The 20,847-nt window shown below is 42.0% G+C and overlaps 1 protein-coding gene across 17 annotated transcripts in view; it reads left to right on the forward strand.

Moving 5' to 3' along the window:
* PATJ (PATJ crumbs cell polarity complex component) overlaps positions 1 to 20,847 on the forward strand; it is a 421,436-nt gene that overhangs the window by 369,340 nt on the left and 31,249 nt on the right. For all 17 annotated transcript variants that reach the window (XM_011540462.4, XM_011540467.4, XM_011540464.4 and 14 more), the window contains 7 exons: positions 2,234 to 2,427; positions 4,713 to 4,860; positions 5,313 to 5,399; positions 9,362 to 9,476; positions 11,202 to 11,239; positions 16,153 to 16,275; positions 17,022 to 17,126. In XM_011540462.4, the coding sequence (XP_011538764.1) occupies positions 2,234 to 2,427; positions 4,713 to 4,860; positions 5,313 to 5,399; positions 9,362 to 9,476; positions 11,202 to 11,239; positions 16,153 to 16,275; positions 17,022 to 17,126 (810 nt within the window). The remainder of the gene's footprint in view (positions 1 to 2,233; positions 2,428 to 4,712; positions 4,861 to 5,312; positions 5,400 to 9,361; positions 9,477 to 11,201; positions 11,240 to 16,152; positions 16,276 to 17,021; positions 17,127 to 20,847) is intronic.

A 20,847-nucleotide genomic window follows, 5' to 3' on the forward strand; every position in this document is an offset into this window, starting at 1 on the left:
TTGGCTAATTTTTTGTATTTTTAGTAGAGACGGGGTTTCACTGTGTTGGCCAGGCTGGTCTTGAACTCCTGACCTCGTGATCTGCCTGCCTCGGCCTCCCAAAGTGCTGGGATTACAGGCATGAGCCACCGCGCCCAGCCCAAAACCCATGTTCTTTACCACTGTTATTCTGGATGTAGCTCATCTAAGTGAACACACAAGCCACCAAGATATACCAGAAAATAAACAGCAGCTTGGAAATTAGGCTTTTAAACATTTGGTTGGCTCACAGAATCAGTTTTAAATGGCAGTTCAAAAGTCACCTTCTCCAAGAAGGGTTCATTCTTCCTTTCTCCTTTCCCGTAACCATTCTTTATGCCACTGGTCCTTAGTCTTTAGAATGTTAGAATTAAAAAAGCCTTGGGGGCCGGGTGCGGTGGCTCACGCCTGTAATCCCAGCACTTTGGGAGGCCAAGGCTGGTGGATCACCTAAGGTCAAGAGTTCAAGACCAGCCTGGCCAACATGGTGAAACCCCGTCTCTACTAAAAATACAAAAATTAGCCAGGCGTGGTGGCTGATCCCTGTAATCCCAGCTGCTCGGGAGTCTGAGTCTGGAGAATTGCTTGAAACCGGAAAGCGGAGGCTGCAATGAGCCGGGATCGCACCACTATACTCCAGCCTGGGTGACAGAGTGACACTCCATCTCAAAAGAAAAAAAGAAAAAGCCTTAGACCATTGCTTCATTGTACAGATAAAGGAACAAAGGTTCAGAGGCTGGCCTGACCTTCCAGTAGCACACAGGGCTGGACCAGAATAAGGAATGGAACTGACATCTTGGGGGAGCTCAAGCACTCTACCATCTGCCTGGTGGGCTGGACTTATCCTTCCCCTCATTTGACTCTTTTCCTAGCTGCAACCTTGAGGGAATCACCACCTCTGACTTCTTTCCTTTGAATCCAAGGTTACTCTGCTCCTCGATTTCTCCCTCATATCAAATTTACTAACCAATGTCAGTATTTGACTTTCTTTGTGACAGGGGATCTCCAGTAACCCATTCTAAGAGTTAATGATGAGGCAGCATGGAATAGGAACTGAGGGTGGAAGGGTTTCAATCTTGGCTCCTCCACCTGCTAGCTGTGTAACCTGGGTCAAGTCCCTAAACCTCTGTGTGCCTCAGTTTCCTCCTCTATGAATGGTGATAATAACAATATCTATTTCAGAGAGTTAGTATAAGGATTAAATGAGTAAATATTCATTAAGGACTAGCACACAAGCACTGCAGAAGTATTTAAGTTAAAGAATAAATAATTTGGCTATAATGTCTATTTAACAGAAAAGGAAACAGAGGCTCAGAGATTACATGACTTGGCTTTACTCAGTGCTCTTTTCGGTACACTGCTTTCTAATGCATGGTCCTGTCTGTGCTCACTGAGAACCAGATTCCAGTGAGAAGACTTCAAGGGGTCTTGGATGCTGTTGGAAATACTGTTCCCTCATCTCCTTCTGGGCCTGTTATGAAGTCGTTGTGATGTGAGCAAATAAGAGTGAAGATGTCAGCCAGGCATGGTGCCTCATGCCTGTAATCCCAGCACTTTGAAAGTCCGAGGCAGGAGGATCACCTGAGCCCAGGAGTTTGAGGCCAGCCTGGGCAATATGGCAAGACCTCATCTCTCCAGAATTTAAAAAATTAGCTAGACATGGTGGCACACACATGCAGTCCCAGAAACTCAGGAGGCTGAGGTTGAAGGATCACTTGAGTCTGGGAAGTCAAGGCTGCAGTAAGCCAGCATTCATGCCACTGCACTCCAACCTGGGCAACAGAGCAAGACCCTATCTAAAAAAATAAACAAATAAATGAGAGTGAAGATGTCATATCCAATAAGCAAACTGAATCTAAAAATGCTGACTAAACATTAATAGTTATTTCCCTTTTATCTCAATTAAATGAGCTAGTTAAGTCCCTGCATGCACACTCTCCTGTCTCTTTCATTGATTTCACAGTAAAGTTTATAGCTATGTAAAATTGCATTATCATGTATCCACCCTTTGTGCACATGTTGGGTAGGATATTTTAAGGGCCATCTCCTTTATATTCAAAGCAGCTCATACTGCTTGTGGTCACTACCTGTTTGCCTTGAGATTGGCTGGAAATTTCTAGAGATTCTTTACTGGTTAGATCAAGGAGATTCAGCAGACAGAGAAGGCAGAGACCTCTGCCATCAGCAGCCCAGCTCAGGATGCCCATTGTTCCAGGTTAATGGGGTTGACCTGAGGAACTCCAGCCACGAAGAAGCCATCACAGCCCTGAGGCAGACCCCCCAGAAGGTGCGGCTGGTGGTGTATAGAGATGAGGCACACTACCGGGATGAGGAGAACTTGGAGATTTTCCCTGTGGATCTGCAGAAGAAAGCTGGCCGGGGCCTGGGCCTGAGCATCGTTGGGAAACGGTAAAGACGTGCTGTGGGAGTTGGGATCTGCCTTTTTCATCCAGAGCTCTGATGCCTGTGAACACTGAAAGAGAAAGCCTAATGTAAAGTAGTGATGGGATTTCTAAAAATAAGATATTTATGAAAATTTGACAACATGGGTCATATTTCTGAGCAAGGTCTTACCAGAAAAATTGTCATATCAAGATAGAACTCCAAGTCCAATCAATCCAGACTGATATATTTCTGTACAGAGTAAGAACAACTAGCAAGGTTCTTTCACTTGGAATTACTAAGATCGGAGTTTTGCAGAGGTTGATTAAAGCAACCATACCCAAGAAATAGCTAGCATCAAGAATGAGATTTATCCAATGTTGGGTCAAGAACATTGCTTCGACATGGAAATTAACATGGAACATTGCTTTTCGTGATACTGTTAATTTCATACTATGTTGAAACTAGTTGAGTAGACATAGTTAAGAGATAAACATAATTCTTCACGATAGTAGTTTTCTATTAAGAAAAATGTCCTGCTGGGCACAGTGGCATGTACCTGTTGTCTCAGCTATGTGGGAAGATCACTTGAGGCCAGGAGTTCAAGGCTATAGTGTGCTATGATCATGCCTGTGAATAGCCACTGCACTTGAGCCTCTTGGGAAACATAACAAGACCCCATCTGTAAATTAAAAAAAAAAAAAAGAAAAGGAAAAAAGAAAGATGTCCCCAAAGTAATAGTTTGCACCAAAAATGTAGGTAGGTAGATCCTAGTGGCCAGGCTACTCTTTTGAAATATATGTTGCTGCCAGATGCAGTGGCTCATGCCTGTAGTCCCAGCACTTTGGGAGGCCGAGGTGGGTGGATCACCTGAGGTCAGGAGTTCAAGACCAGCCTGACCAATATGGTGAAACCCCATCTCTACTAAAAAATACAAAAAATTAGCCAGGCATAGTGGCAGACGCCTGTAATCCCAGCTACTTGGGAGACTGAGGCAGGAGAATTGCTTGAACTTGGGAGGTGGAGGTTGCAGTGAGCTGAGATCACGCCATTGCATTCCAGCCTGTGCAACAAGAGCGAAACTCCATCTCAAAAATAAATAAATAAATAAAAAGAGGTATATGTTGCCTAGGCCAGGCATAGTGGCTCACGTCTATAATCCCAACACTTTGGGAAGCTGAGTTGGGAGGATCGCTTGAGGTGAGGAGTTCAATATCAGTCTGGCAACATAGCAAGACTTGTCTCTAAAAAAATTTTTTAAATAAAGAAAAATGAAGTCTATACTGCTTAACAGTCGTTTGTTCCAGGATAATATTACTAAGTTTCTCTTGCAGTGAATTGGAAAGGTAAGTAATAGCTTGAAACAAAGCCTAGCTTCCATGGTTTACTGGCTTTTAGGTATCTAGTATGTATTTATCCCAACAGGGCTATAGGATTTCCAGGTAATATCCTAATATGGCCTTAAAGTGTATCAACCATCTTGTTAAGGAAGAAATCAAGTTGCTTTTATGCATGTTATGTTATATGCCCTCACAGACCTCTGGTGACTAGCCTAGTGTCTGTCCAGCAGGCCAAGCTGTTATTAAAATAAAAATATTAGCTACAATTTTTGAGTACTGATTTTGGGCCAAGTATTGTGCTGTCATAATTTCATTTTTTTTTACTTCAGCACCATAGAACCATCACTCTGAAAATGCATTACCAAACAAAAAAAGCTGAGTCTCTTACATTTCTAAACAAAAATCAGTGCACATCTGGGTGCAGAGCAACTGACAGAGCCAGTGTTGAAGTTTGCTTTCTTGTTTTGACACATGCGTATACCTGGTGCGGTTTTATTTACAGCAATGTTTTTTGCTTTTAGTGAATGTCAGTATTTCAGGTTGAGTTTGTAAGGAACATTTACATTCCTTAGCACAAAAACTTGCATTGTAAAGGATGAGATGTATAGTTCTCAAAAGTCACTATTTTCTTTGACTAACAATTCCATCACCAGGACTTTATCTTAAAGATATACTTACAAGTATTCATTGCTCATTGCAATAGTTAAAGAATGGAAATAACCTGTATGTCCATCAGTAAGCTACTGGTAAGTGAAATTATGAAACATCATAGAATAGTATGTAGCTATTTAAAAAATGAGGAAGCTCCAAGTGCTGATAAAGGCAAATTACCAAGGTATGAAAGAAACAAAAAGAAAACAAAACTGGAAGAAGAAAGGAGCATATATGTGTGTGCATCCTGTCACACACACACGTATTATGCATGGAAATATTAGGTTGTGCCAATACTGCACTGCTGTATGGTATTAACAGAAATGGAAGCGGAGTGTTTATTTCTGACATCGTGAAAGGCGGAGCCGCAGACCTGGATGGGAGATTGATTCAGGGAGATCAGATCTTATCTGTGAATGGGGAGGACATGAGAAATGCCTCACAGGAGACAGTGGCCACCATCCTCAAGGTGAGTTGCTAGGCTGCTTTTTACCCAGCTGGCACAACTGAAGTCCAGTGGGAACTGTTCCAGTCTAGCTTGATTATAAAATGGGTTGGATTTTATACTAACTCTAGTTTTTACTAGAAATTTAATCTCTGATTATTTTAAATGAGCCAGAATAGCTTTAAAAGAAAGTTCTGTTATATTGACTAACAGAATGAAAGGGAACCTGCTTTGGGATTTCACAAGCAAGTTTTTCATACTTGTGAGAATTCTAAGTATCCATCACTGTTCTTTAAATGCATTTGATGAGATGGGCCCTCCAGGAGCCACAGAATTCATCCTCCTCTCTCTAGGGCTATGCCTGTTGCTTTCATTACCCTTTTATAATTTGTGGCTGCAGGGAGAGGCTCTGTTAAGATATTTCAGAATATAAATGCTACTACTTTTCATTTCTGTTCTTTTCTTGCCTTTCCAAGTGTGCACAGGGACTTGTGCAGCTAGAGATTGGAAGACTCCGAGCTGGTTCCTGGACCTCCGCAAGGACGACATCACAGAACAGTCAGGTTGTCGATGGCTTCTCATCAGACTGACTCACTCTTCTGCCCCCACTGGGAGAAAGTTCCCCATTTAATAAATGGTTGTTTGGAAATAATATCTAATGTACAGCATATTCACAGCACCAAGTTTAGTGAACTTTCATGTGTTTGAAATAAAAATGAAAGGTGGGATGGAAATTCATTAATCCCTAGATTTTTCTCTCCTTTATTGCTTGCAAATGTTTTCTTGGAAGCTCTTTTCTCTCTATTAGTTCTATATTGCCTATGCACGCATGTACACAGCTGTGTTTATTTAAAAAAAAAAAAAGGCAACATCTGGTGGCAATTTGACCCTCATTAGCACAACATTGTTCTATTCATTCAATTAAATATTGCTATAAAGTTAACTTGTGACTAGCCACTCACACATGCCGAGGGCAATTAATGGCATATTCCTAGGAGAACCAAGTGTGGGGGTTTTTCCTGTGGGAGGGAGGGCTTAGTGGGTGATATTTTGTGGGTTAGCAAACATCTTATATTTATTTGCAAAGCTGATGTAAGTGCCATTTTTTTTTAGCAAAGTATATTTCACTATATTTTTTTCATTGTAATGGCTGACAAAATCAAGATGGTAGACTGTATGGTTAGCCCCATGTGGTACATAATGAGACTATAGAAACTTATATGTGACCCCTAAGTCTCCTCTCTGGGTTATGGATAGGCCGCCTTAGTTTTGAGGTTAAAAGCATGACTTTTGGTCCCCTCCCTGGTTGCCTTATTTCTGAAGCCTCTCCAAGGCCTTTGTTCAGAAGGTGCTCTGATCTTACAGTTAGCACACAGTTACTTCTGGAAAGCTATTAGCTGCCTCCTGTTCCTCACTGGTGTTAAAAAATGAGTGAGGAAAATACCATTGTTCAGATAGGATTACAGACTAGCTGGCTTGTCTTAGGGAATCTTCAAAGCAGTCAAACCCAATAAACACCATATTAAGTTTGAAACACTTTTTTTTTTTTTCATTTCTGGCTTACATAATGGGCAGCAAATATCTAAGACATGGTGCTGCTGTAGGATTCCATGAGTTAATAGTTAGTGATGATATTGACCAGACTTATATCAACAAACGAAACAGTTGTCTAGCCAGGCTTCTTCCTTAATGGAAGACTCATCTTTGTTGAATGATTTCATTAAAGCCTTATTGTATACAGAAGATTAGAATGAAGCTACACAGAGGAGGTTCCATTGAATCTCACTCCAAATGGAGTTTGGGGAAAAGAAGGAAAAGGCATCTCAGACAGGGAAAATAGCATACACAAAGGCACAAAGAGGTAACAGGTGTTTGTGTGATTTAAGAAAAGTTTGGACTGATCGATAGGTAAGGTAGTGGATAGAAATGGATTTCTGTCCCTCTTGAGAGATGTATGTGAGCATCTTCTTATTTATTTATTTATTTATTTTTGAGACGGAGTCCCACTCTGTTGCCCAGGTTGGAGTGCAATGGCGCGATCTCAGCTCACTGTAATCTTCGCCTCCCGGGTTCAAGTGAGTCTCCTGCCTCAGCCTCTCGAGTAGCTGGGACTACAGGTGCCCGCCACCACATCCGGCTAATTTTTGTATTTTTAGTAGACACGGGGTTTCAAAACATCTTGGTCAGGCTGGTCTCAAACTCCTGATCTCAGGTGATCCACCCACCTCGGCCTCCCAAAGTGCCTGGATGACAGGTGTGAGCCCCCGCGCCCAGCCGCATCTTCATAATTTTTAAGTTCACACTCAAAGACAGAACTACCAAATTTAGAAGCTACATCATTAAATATCAAAAAAAAAAAAAACCTATCGTCTCCACTTACCTGGTATATGAATGTGAGTTGTCATATTTTGGAAACCTGGGACAAAGTATCAAATACTTTGCCCTAATCTTCTTACACAGAATTTTAATTTCAGAGGGTAGGAGTTTAATTCAATTTTTAAAAACAGTAAATATATCTTATCATCACCTTGTGCTTAAAATTATGGGTGAGATAGAAGAGTTTGCCCTATTTGGCTAATTAGAAGAAGGCTGGTAGCCGACTGTGAAAAGGAAATGTCTTCCCATCATGATGAGTTGAAGACTGACCCTGGTGGGCAAAAACAAGATTCCATTGCCAAACATTTTTACATCCAGACCCATTTAAAAAATCAGGATCTTGTAGGAACACAGATTTCCTTCTGAGCAGTTACAAAATAGGGAGATCAATGCCTTCTTTTGAGCGCTAAGGAGAATAAGCTCTTGACTTAATTCATAGAAAGTGAGTTCATTAAGAGAGAAATAACTTCTAGCTTTGGGGCCACCAAGTGTCTTTTTTTAAAATGACTTTCCCCCAAACCAGGAAGAAATTTCCTTACTCCACAGAGGAAAAAATACTTGCGAGATCTTTTCCTCAGCCAACTAAGGGAACACAGTCAGGCAAAGTGTACTTTTATAAACGTCTTGGGGCCGGGCGTGGTGGCTCACATCTGTAATCCCAGCACTGGGAGTTCGAGGCGGGCAGATCACTTGAGGGCAGGAATTCAAGACCAGCCTGGCCAAAGAGCCTGGTGAAACCCTGTCTCTACTAAAAATACAAAAATTAGCTGGGCATAGTGGTGGGCTCCTGTAACCCCAGCTACTCAGGAGGCTGAGGCAACAGAATCACTTGAACCTGGGAGGCGGAGGTTGCAGTGAGCTGAAATTGCACCACTGCACTACAGCCTGGGTGACAGAGGGAGACTCCTCAAAAATTACAATACAATGCAATAAAGGTCTTGGCAAACACACCTTTCTGAAATTTTTTAAAGGCAAAAGTTATAATATACTGTACTTCCTCAGTTCTGATTAGTTATCTATTATAGTACCATTTACTTAAATCATATCCTTTAAGGAAAAGTATAAAAACACTCCTTTAAATGTATATAGCCACTATGAAGTATACTGAGATCTACAACTTACTTTGAAATGAATTTTTTAAAAAAAGATGAGTGATGAATAGATAAATGGCTATGTGATAAAGGAAATATAGCAAAATACTCATTGTGAAATCTAGGTGCTATTTATATGGATGTCTATTGTATAATTCTTTCAGCTTTTCTATATATTTGAAGGTTTTCATATTTTAGGAATTAAAATATTAAACAACTTTCATCATAGAGTTAAGAAAATGGACCAAATTATAATTTATGAACTGATAACAGTGATCTTAGGCTTAGCTTAAAATTTTGATGCAGAATAATTTGGTAGAAAAAAATATTCATTATTTGCAATGTTTTCGTCTACATAAGAAAGGCCCTTCACTATGTATACAGTTTTTGTTGAACAGCCACTAGCCTTAAAAGACTACACAGTATTAACCTCACATATTCATTTAAATGAATAAAGGGACAGGTAATGGAGATCTAGCAGATTGGACTAAATTATTACTGATTCTAGGAAAATCTTTGAGAAAAAAATGTTATATATCCCTAAAACAAGTCTTTTTCCCTTCAGATTTGGTGCTTTTTTCCCCACAATTGAGGGTTCTATTTTGGCAGGTTTCTGCTAATCAAGGTCTTATTATACTTGTTTTAGCAAAATACATAATACATTTTGGGTAATAAAGTTGACTGTAACCCCAAATGAAACATAGTGCCCATTAGCTGACTATATATACATAAACACTATGTGGCAACCTAGGAAAATGGTTTTGATTTTATGTGGAGCAAGAACAGCTGAAATGATTCTATGGTCTCCACCTTGGTGATTGAAACCATATACAAAAGCACACATAATGGAGAAAGCAATGGAGGAAATGTCTAAATGGGATTGGGTTGAGGTAGTAAGAGAATAGTGTGGGTGATTTTTGTTTTCTTTCCTGGCCTCCTCACGATTTTCTGTTAGATGGTTATGGTGACATCAGTAATTGGCACACTAATGGATAAGTATGCATTTAGGGGGTCAAGTCAGTGTCTGCACACAGGTGACCCCTGGGTCTTTCTTTCAGGGTAGTCAGCAGAGTGCACACAGCAGCTGTCATCCCTCCTTCGCTCCTGTCATCACTGGCCTGCAAAACCTGGTTGGCACAAAAAGAGTTTCAGATCCTTCCCAGAAAAATTCAGGTATTACACGGACACACCCAGAGCAAAACTATCCTGTTACCCAAATTAAAAAAAAAAAATGTGTTTTTTAAAAACCAGTCTTCTTTAATATAAATGTTTTTTAATTTTTTGAGCTTGGCCACATAAGCTGAGCTTTCTGAAAGGCATGTTCTGAAGGTAGGAAAGCCATAGAGATTCCTTCAGTGGTGGCCAGGCATGGTGGCTCACACCTGTAATCCCAGCACTTTGGGACGGCTGTGGCGGGCGGATCACCTGAGGTCAGGAGATCGAGACCATCCTGGCTAACCCCGTGAAACCCCGTCTCTATTAAAATACAAAAAAAAATTAGCCGGGCGTGGTGGCATACGCCTGTAGTCCCAGCTACTCAGGAGGCTGAGGCAGGAGAATTGCTTGAAACTGGCGGGGGTGGTGGAGGTTGCAGTGAGCCAAGATCGTGCCACTGCACTCCAGCCTGGGTGACAGAGCAAGACTCCGTCTCCAGAAAAAAAAAAAGAAATTCCTTCAGTGGCACAACACAAAGCACCTGAAAAACAGAAAAGCAGAAAGCTGGAGTGCATGGTAAAATAAAATTACTTACAAAGAGAAAATTAATAAATTACAGGTCACTGGAGAAAGGTCAGAAGTGTGTATACCTTCTATGGGAAAATTGGGCCAGTTAAAAGAAAAAAAAAAGTGTGTATATCCTTGGGGGCAGGGTGGGACAAGGGGTCCTTTTAAGTCTTTTGTTGAATGGAGGGTTATCTTTGATTAAGGTAGAAAAAAATGTACAATGAAACACAAATGACTCAGCCGGGCCCGGTGGCTCATGCCTGTAATCTTAGCACTTTGGGAGGCCAAGGCAGGCGGATCACCTGAGGTCAGGAGTTTGAGAGCAGCCTGGCCAACATGGAGAAACCTCGCCTGTACTAAAAATACAAAAATTAGCCGGGCATGGTGGCACATGCCTATAATCCCAGCTACTTGGGAGGCTGAGGCAGGAGAATCGCTTGAACCCAAGAGGCAGAGATGGCAGTGAGCTAAGATCGGACCACTGCACTCCAGCCTGGGCGACAGAGTGAGACTCCATCTAAAAAAAAAAAAAAAAAAAAAACCACACACACACACAAAAATGAGTCATCCTCCAAGCATTTACTCACCATGTTCCAGGCAGCTGCTGCTATATAGCCCATCCACTTTTGTCAGACCAAATGGTTATGGCCACATTGATCTCAAACAGAGAGCACTTCTTTAAAATAGAGGACACAGCAGGCCGGGCACGGTGGCTCACGCCTGTAATCCCAACACTTTGGGAGGCCGAGGCAGGTGGATCACTTGAGGTCGAGAGTTTGAGACCAGCCTGGCCAACATGGTGAAACCCCGTCTCTACTAAAAATACAAAAATTAGCCGGGCGTGGTGGCAGGCACCTGTAATCCCAGCTATTTGGAGGCAGAGGCAGAAGAATTGCTTGAATCTGGGAGGCAGAGGTTGCAGTGAGCTGAGATGGTGCCACTGCACTCCAGCCTGGGTGACAAAGCGAGACTCTGTGTCAAAAAAAAAAAAAAGAGGACATGGCCCCTGGTGACTTGGCTACCAGCTTGGATGCTGAGGAAGGGTACAATACCTGCTTGCTTTAGTGTCTTCTCTTGAAAGACCTAGAAAATGAAACCATTTTTCATGGGGCAATATTATATGCTAAATATATTATTTTTTAATATTAAAAAGTTAATTGTGTTGCTTCTTTATAGGCACAGATATGGAACCAAGGACTGTTGAGATAAACAGGGTAAGTCAGTCATTTTGCTGTATGTATTTTTCTGGTTTGTGTTGGATTTGCACTAAATGTACATTTTCCCCAATACAGTTTATTGGATTGTGAGTGTGCTCTTTCAAGTTACTGAGATAAAAATATGGTCTAAATAACATCAATAAATAGACTTAGAAAAGTACAGTAGAGCACAGAGATGACCTCTATGAATTTTTTGGCAAATCTCATCCACTATATTCTGTGCTATGTGTAAGTTTTATTTTTATTTATTTATTTTTTCAATCTTAGTCTTTTAACCTGTACATGTAAAGTTTTATAAAACAAAAATGGTATCATGTGGCACATACTAAATAAGTATTTTTTGAGAGCATATAGTATGATTTTTATCGATTTCATAGTACTCCATCTTATGAATGTGCTATAAGTTTCTTTTTTTTTTTTTTTTTTTTTTTTTTGAGACAGAGTCTTGCTCTGTCACCCAGGCTAGAGTGCACTGGTGCGATCTCGGCTCACTGCAAGCTCCACCTCCTGGGTTCATGCCATTCTCCTGCCTCAGCATCCCGAGTACCTGGGACTACAGGCGCCTGCCACCACGCCCAGCTAATTTTTTGTATTTTTAGTAGAGACGGGTTTTCACCGTGTTAGCCAGGATGGTCTCGATCTCCTGACCTCGTGATCCACCTGCCTTGGCCTCCCAAAGTGCTGGGATTACAGGCGTGAGGCACCGTGCCCGGCCAAATGTGCTATAAGTTTCTTAACCAGTTTCCTATTATTGAACAATTAGCATATTTCTCAATTTTTGCTATCTTTTATAGTAAAACATCTTTATATTTTTGCCCAAATCATGAGTAACTTCCTCAGGATTAATTCCTAGAAATGAAACTTGGGGGTCAAAAGCCAAGCTTGTTATTAGAGGCTTTTATACATGTTGCTAAATTTCCCTTTTGAGAAGATTATATAAGATGTATTTCATTCATAAATTTGTCGAACCCTGATTTTCAGACTCCTGTGTGATGATATCTAATGAAAGTAGACTCTTTTTTTCTTTTTCTTTTTCTTTTTGAGATGGAGTCACCGTGTTGCCCAGGCTGGAATGCAGTGGTGCAATCTCAACTCACTGCAACCTCCACCTCCTGGGTTCAAGTAATTCTCGTGCCTCAGCCTCCCAAGTAGCTGAGACTACAGGCACACACCACCACGCCCGGCTAATTTTTGTATTTTTTGTAGAGACACAGTTTCTCCATGTTGGCCTGGCTGGTCTCGAACTCCTGCCCTCAATCGATCCGACCACCTCAGCCTTCTGAAGTGCTAGGATTACAGGCATGAGCCACCAGGCCCGGCCAAAAGTAGACTTTTATTTTGCTCACTTTGACCTAAATGAGGGGTTCAAGAAGAAATAATGACCCTGTTGTAATCATGGTAATCCACTGCAGTAAAGTGATATCCAGCATAACTTACTTCTCTAGATTTAATGATACCTCTGTTTGAAGGCATTCTACCATTTATTAGCTGCATTAGTTTGCTAGATCTGCAGTTATAAAACACCACAGACTGGGTGGCTTAAACAGTGGGAATTTATTTTCTCACAGTTCTGAAGGCTAGATCCAAGATGAAGGTGTCTGCAGGTTTGACTTTTCCTGAGGCCCCCCTCCTTGGCTTGCAGATGTCCACTTTCTTGCTGTAGCCACACGTGGCCTTTTTTGTGTGTCACTCATCATCCCTGGTGTCTCTCCTATGTCCTAATCTTTTCTTATAAGGACACCAGTCACATTGGACTAGGGCACACCCTGGCCTCATTTTAAAGGCCCTATCTCCAAATACAGTCACATTCTGAGGCCCTGGTACTTGGGGCTTCAACATGTGAATCTTAGGGGGACCCAATTCAGCCTGTACATTAGCTGTACAGCTGGGTGCGGTGGCTCATACCTGTAATCCCAGCATTGTGGGAGGCCGAGGTGGGAGGATCACTGAGCCCAGGAGTTTGAGACCAGCCTGGGCAACATGGGGAAACTCCGTCTCTACAAATAATTTCTTTTAAAATTAGACAGGCGTGGTGGTGCATGCCTGTGGTTCCAGCTCCCAGCTATTTGGGAGGCTGAAGTGGGAAGATCGCTTGAGCTCAGGAGGTTGAGGCTGCAGTGAGCCGTGATCATGCCACTGCACTCCAGCCTGGGTGACAGAGTAAAACCCTGTCTCAAAAAAAAAAAAAAAAACAAAAAAAAACAAAAAAAAAACGCCATTAGCTCTATAATAGTTAGCAACTCAACCTCAATTTTCTCATCTGTAGAATGGGGGTGATAACACTAACTCACCTCAAAGGTAAATATTATTGTGTGGATTACATGAGGTCATGAATGTAATGTCTTTAGCATAGCACCTAGTGCATCAGGAATGCCCAGGAAGTGGCTTCTGTTGTTATTAGCTACAGCTTTGACTAAATCTGCCTTATTTGTTCCCGGTATTTTTCCACCAGAGTAGCAACTCAAATGTTCCTATGATGGGGAAGTTAAATGTACCAACAGTATATATAATTATAGATAAATTAAGGAAACATCATGATGGATTTAAACAAAGCCAAAACATTATTGCATAAATTTCTCCTCTAAGATTTCAAAAATAATATTCTTTTATATTTCCTTAGTCATTTCAGCCACTTGTTTTTACAGGCTTTTGTAATAAAGCCTGCTCCTACCTACCCTATTCTACCACACGTGATCCAAGCATAAATTTCTTTCTTTTTTTTTCCTGAGACAGAGTCTCACTCTGTTACCCAGGCTGGAGTGCAGTGGTGCAATCTCGGCTCACTGAAACCTCCACCTCCCAGGTTCAAGTCATTCTCCTCCCTCAGCCTCCCAGGTAATTGGGATTACAGGTGCGTGCCACCACATCCAGCTAATTTTTTGTATTTTCAGTAGAGACAGGGTTTCGCCATGCTGGCCTGGCTGGTCTCAAACTCCTGACCTCGAGTGTTCCACCCACCTCATCCTCCCAAAATGCTGGGATTACAGGAGTGAGCCACCACACCCAGCCTCTAAACTTCTGCTATGCTGGTTTGGGTCTGTCTCACACATAAGCAGCCTGAGAGTTCTGTGGGTTCACAAACAGAATTGAGGATTCGTTTTCTTCAGCTTCCTCTTCTCTGCTTTTCTTCTCTTTCCCTCTTTCTTGATTCTTCTGCCCAGAAGGATGGAATTTCTATCTGAATGTTAGCATTCACCGTACCTTTCCAGCTCCTTGACTGGGAATCACCTTCAGGGTACAGCTGCCAGGAAAAAAAATAAAACTGGGAACTTCCCCTGCTGCTGCCATTTCTCCAAGTTTTGACTCTCCACCATACTTTATTTGGTTTCTTTTTGTTTCAGAGGCCACAGGTAGTTGTTTTTTACATTTTGACTAGACATCTTGATTGTAACCAGCAGGAGAGATACGCTGTCACGTGCCTGTGCTGCCATGCCAGAACTGGAACTTGTCATTTGTTCTTTTAGTGATTTTAAAAATATTAACCCTATGATACTAATGTGGGGAAAAAACTGGACTAGAGCCAAGTCTCTTCACCAGAGTCCGTCTTGGGGAACATTTTCAGCCACATTTTATGTCTGTCTTCAAACTGTTGTCACTACAGTGGGTGTCCTCTCAGATCCTTTGTTTTAACGCAGTCTTTTAAAGCCAAATGTGTTTGTTCACACCCAGAAGAGCATAGTATGTGTGGCAGTTTAATCATAAACACCATATGAGAACATACTTGCCAAGTCTGCATCGGAATTGGCCACTAAACTAAGGAGCTGCATAGGGTGTTGTGTGTGTGTGTGTGTGTTTAATTTACTCCTGCTATTGCCTTTTATTGAGCCTTTTCTGTAGGCCATGACAGTGCCATACTATCTCATTTAATGCTCAGACCAACACTGTCAGGTATGTAGTATTCTTCTCATTTTATACATAGAGATGGAGGCTTTAAGAGGTAGTCAGCCTAAATAACAAACAGAGAGGCTCTCTAAAGGAAAATGATGTTTATTCAGGAATGGGAATATGCGGGCCAGTTTATTCAGGAATGGGAATATGCGGGCCATAGTAGACTATGTGCATATTCAGGGAGGTAAGGAAAATAAAAGGTTTTAGAGGACAAAATGAGAAATATATAATTATTTTGAGATAATTATCCTTGGCTACAAAGATTAATAACAGGGGTGACACACAGCCCAAGGCTGGACAGGCATCTGCTGGACAGATGCACTTGTAGAAGTATTTTTTTATGAAAGGTTGTGATGTCCTTCCTGCAGGGTTGTGGTTTTTGCAGTCTTTTGTGATAATTTTTGTTATCAGGCATACAAGCCTGAGAACTCTTTCTTCATAGCCTTTCCGGGCTCTATTGGTAAGGAATTTTTTTTTTTTTTTGACACAAATGACTCCATTTTGATTCTGACAACTTTCACAAGGTTAAGTAACTTCCCCCAAGACCCCACAGCTAATTAAGAGCTAGAGCTGGGGCTGGGTAGGGTAGTTCACGTCTGTAATCCCAGCACTCTGAGAGGCCAAGGCGGGTGGATCACCTGAGGTCAGGAGTTGGAGACCTGCCTGGCCAACATGGTGAAGCCCTGTCTCTACTAAAAATACAAAAAATTAGCCAAGTGTGGTGGCGCGCACTTGTAATCCTAGCTACTCAGGAGGCTGAGGCAGGAAAATCGCTTGAACCTGGGAGGCGGAAGTTGCAGTGACCTGAGATCGTGCCATTGCACTCCAGCCTGGATAACAAGAGCGAAACTGAAAAAAAAAGAGCTAGAGCTGTCTACTCCAAAGGTTCCACATTTAACTCCTATGTTATCCTGGCCTCCTACCTCATGGAGGGATTTTGTTCCAACAGCTATCTATCTAGGGATAGTCAGTTTGTGGCTCTTTATTAAATATAAAAGCATTATGTTTTCTTCCTTTTTTAGGAGCTCAGTGATGCCCTTGGAATCAGTATTGCTGGAGGAAGAGGAAGTCCCTTAGGAGATATCCCCGTATTTATTGCCATGATTCAGGCTAGCGGAGTGGCCGCACGGACACAGAAGCTTAAAGTAAACGAGAGAACTGGTTGAAAGACTAACAATATGTGTTGGGGTGGGAGAGGAAGTTGCAGCCCTGGGCACCTTGTTTAAAGTTGGAATTCCAGTAGCCATCAGAGACCCAGGCTGAGGGCAAGATGCATTAGATAAACTTGATACCTTTAGAAATTCATTAGGTCCCCAGGCACATAAAAATATTATTATTTGTATCAAAGCTTCTCCATAAAAGAAGAAATTGCAGCCCCTTTGCAAACCCTCCTTTACCCTTTTAAGCACCTCATTCCACCCAAAATCAGCTCTCAACTGAGAGACATTTGACCTTAGAGTCTTCCCTCAATCAAAAGAATCACCATTTTTATGATTTCTCCCCCTTGTTGCCCCTTAATCTTAACTTCAGTAGAAAAATATAGCAGAAAATATTTGGCTTCCTCATTAGAACTTTATTGAACGGTTGATGTGTACACTTCGCTTTTACTGGCAAATGGTTGTATGAAACACCACCATTACCAAAATACAAAAATGGCCTACTGTGCCTTTTAATAATCAAATGTGACCCCCTTCTTGTTGCTCTGATTTGTCTGTATTTGGGGAAAGCCAAAAAAATTCCTCATGCTTCTTGAACATGCATGCACGGTAGTAACGCAGAATCCTCACAATAGCCACAAATGGGAAATAGGACTCGCAAAGAATTTTAAGCATTCTTCTCAAATTTAATTTTTCTTAATGATAGTGATTTTCTGTCATTTTTGTACTTCCAGGTTGGAGATCGGATTGTCAGCATTAACGGGCAACCTTTGGATGGGCTGTCTCACGCGGATGTGGTTAATCTGCTGAAGAACGCCTACGGGCGCATTATCCTGCAGGTATTGCGATCAACGGAGCACGCAGCTGTGCAAGGCAGATAAGTGGCATGCAAAAAAGATTGAGCGTCACTGGCAGTAGACATCGCCACCCAGCAGGGTGCTTGCTGATGTGAATTACGAAGGTTGAAAGCAAGAAATTATTATTTTTATTCAGAAATTCTTTAATGCCACCCATACAGGTAGTGAGCATGATTATATGAAAGCATAACAAGGGGAGAAAAATTACTCTCTGCTTCACATGATAAATCAACACAGCTTTTAGTTTCCAGTGTTCTTTTGTAAATCAGAATTTGTAAGGAATAAGAAATGATTTCTTTTCTTATGCCCAAAGACTGTTACTGAACTGCCCAAGTGCTGTTTCTTCTTTTCCCCTTAAAGGAAGAGGAAAAATACAATGGTCTTTTTCCTTTAGCATAGATTGCCAACACTGTTAAATTGTCACGCGTAGCAGTCATCAACCAAGGCAGACAATTGTTTATCAGCTGTGGTCCCCAGCTGTATTGTTCAGAGGCACAAGGAAATATACCAGGATGTAAAAGCAAAGTGTGCTGTTAATTACCCCTGCTTATATTTTAGCCCTTCAGATGTCTCTGAGATTGACACCATGCAGTGACTGAGAGGCAGCATACTGGCAGTGAGTTTCATTAATGAGTTTCCCCAGAAATGTATGCTTACCATAGGTCTGCAGAGGTAATATAAAGTGGTTTATAGGTGGCTAGGCGCGGTGGCCCACGCCTGTAATCCTAGCACTTTGGGAGGCTGAGGTGGGCGGATCACCTGAGGTCAGGAGTTCGAGACCAGCCTGGACAACATGGTGAAACCCCGTCTCTGCTAAAAGTACAAAAATTAGCCAGGCATGGTGGTGGGTGCCTGTAATCTCAGCTACAGGAGGATGAGGCAGGAGAATCACTTGGACCTGGGAGAAGGAGGTTGCAGTGAGCCAAGATTGCTCCACTGTACTCCAGCCTGGGTGACAGAGTGAGACTGTCTCAAAAATAAAATAAAATAAATTAGTTTATAGGTATAAAGAATAAAGCCCACCACTTACTACCTTAGAGAGAGGGCCAGCCAGCCACTCATCATTCTAGCCTTAAAATAAGAAGTTTGGGCTGAGTGCAGTGGCTCACACCTATAGTCCCAGCACTTTGGGAGGCTGAAGCAGGAGGATCACTTGAGGCCAGCAGTACAAGACCAGCCTAGGCCATAGCAAGATCCCGTCTCTACAAAAAAGTTAAAAAGTTAGCCCGGCATGGTGGTGTGTGCCTGTAGTCTTAGCTACTCAAGAGACTGAAGCAGGAGGATGGCTTGAGCCCAAGAGTTGGAGGCTACAGTGAGCCAGTATTGTGCCACTGCATTCCTGCCTGGGCAGCAGAGTGAGACCCTGGCTCAAAATAAATAAAAATCATATAGGAAGTTCAAATTGAAAAACCATTACATAGCTGGGCATAGTGGCTCACGCCTATAATCCCAACACTCTGGGAGGCCAAGGCAGGAGAATTGCTTGAGCCCAGGAGTTTTGAGACCAGCCTGGGCAACATGGTATGATACCCCATCTCTACAAAAAAAATAAAAATAAAAATTTAATTTTAATAATAAAAAATAAAAATTAGAAAAAAAGAAAAACTGCTGGGCACGGTGGCTCACACCTGTAATCCCAGCACTTTGGGAGGCTGAGGCGGGCGGATCACGAGGTCAAGAGATTGAGACCATCCTGGCTAACATGGTGAAACCCCATCTCTACTAAAAATACAAAAAATTAGCCGGGCATGGTGGCGGGCGCCTATAGTCCCAGCTACTGGGGAGGCTGAGGCAGGAGAATGGCGTGAACCTGGGAGGCAGAGCTTGCAGTGAGACGAGATGGCACCACTGCACTCCATCCTGGGCGACAGAGCAAGACTCCGTCTCAAAAGAAAAAAAGAAAAACCATTACATTTGGGAGAAGCAATTTGTGGTGTTTTACATCTCTGTGGTGTAAGTCCAAAGTGTCCAGACATTTAAAAAGTAAGTGGCTTTCAGTATGTATGAGGGGTATAATGAAAATCCTGTCAGTTTACTATCACACTAGTCTTTAAGTTAAAATTTTAAAAGAAAGAAAAGAAAATCCTGTCATTAATTTCAAGGGAGTTTATGTGATAGGCCAAATATTATTAAATTATTTGGGTCCCTGATTTTCTATTGAACACAAACCAAAACACTGTGCGGACTGGGCATAGAATCTGCTTCCCCTCAACTCCTGGTCCTCACTTTCAGTGGAAACCTACACAGTTAACTGCATTGCTTCCTCCACCCTACAAATCCTTTGCTTTCTGAAATGGGTGGCTGTGCTTGCTCATCCTTCACGTTATGCTGACCCCTAGAGGCAGTACAGTGCAGCTCTTCAGTGCTGAGCCCAGGACCTTGAATTACAAAGACCTTAGGAGGATCCTACTTCAAATGGTAACTGACCAGAAAAAAGTCTCTCTCCCTTAGCAAAATCTAGTATTATTGATATTTTCACACATGGATATAATTTGTTCAGCTCTGTCTTCCTCACAAATAAATAAGAAGACACAATTAGCCAGGTGTGGTAGCGCATGCCTGTAATCCCAGCTACTCAGGAGGCTAAGGCAGGAGAATTGCTTGAACTCAGGAGGCGGAGGTTGCAATGAGCCAAGATCACCCCATTGCACCCCAGCATGGGCTACAAGAGTCAGACTCCGTCTCAAAAAAAAAAGGCACATAGAAACTAGCTGCTCGGAGGATGAGGCAGGAAGATCACTTGAGCCCAAGAGTTTGAGGCTGCAGTGAGCTATGATTATAGCACTGCACTCAGCTTGGGTGACAGAGTGAGATCCCAGCTCTAAATAAGTAAATAATAACATTATTTAACTATAATGTCATAATAATAAAAACCAATATAACCAAATATTAGGATGAATGAATTATTATTTTTTTTTTTTTGAGATGGAGTCTCGCTCTGTTGTCTAGGCTGGAGTGCACTGCAACCTCCCCCTCCCGGGTTCAAGCAAGTCTCCTGCCTCAGCCTCCCAAGTAGCTGGGACTACAAGCATGCACCACCATACCTGGCTAATTTTATATTTTCAGTAGAGATGGGATTTCACCATGTTGGCCAGGCTGGTCTCAAACTCCTGACCTCAAGTGATCTGCCCGCCTTGGCCTCCCAAAGTTCTGGGAGTACAGGCATGAGCCACCACGCCCAGCTGAATGAATTATTAGTAGCATGGGGATTTGTGGTGTTTTGGTAGAAGGAAAATGTGAGTTAAATCTTTATCTTCCACAATAAGAAGTGATTAGATATCAAAAATTTTAAAATCAAGAAATAGAAGTAAAACTGTTATTTAAGAATATGGAAGCACAGCCTGGCCAACATAGAGAAACCTTGTCTCTACTAAAAATACAAAAAAGTAGCCGGATTGGCGGTGCACCTCTGTAATCCTGGCTGCTCAGGAGGCTGAGGCGGGAGAATCGCTTGAACCCCAGGGGCAGAGGTTGTAGTGAGCCAAGATCTCGCCACTGCATTCTGGCCTGGGCAACGTGAATATGGAAGCAAATACTAGGAGAAACAGCTGAAAGTAGTTGCTTTTAGGGAGTAAGAATCTGTAATGGGGGTAAAGGAGCAAGGACTCTTTCATTAAATACTATAGAATCATTTTGACTTTTTAAATTATATAAATGGGCCGGGTGCAGTGGTTCACACCTATAATCCCAGCAATTTGGGAGG

Source organism: Homo sapiens, chromosome 1 (assembly GCF_000001405.40).
Source record: "Homo sapiens chromosome 1, GRCh38.p14 Primary Assembly".
Taxonomy (NCBI): domain Eukaryota; kingdom Metazoa; phylum Chordata; class Mammalia; order Primates; family Hominidae; genus Homo; species Homo sapiens.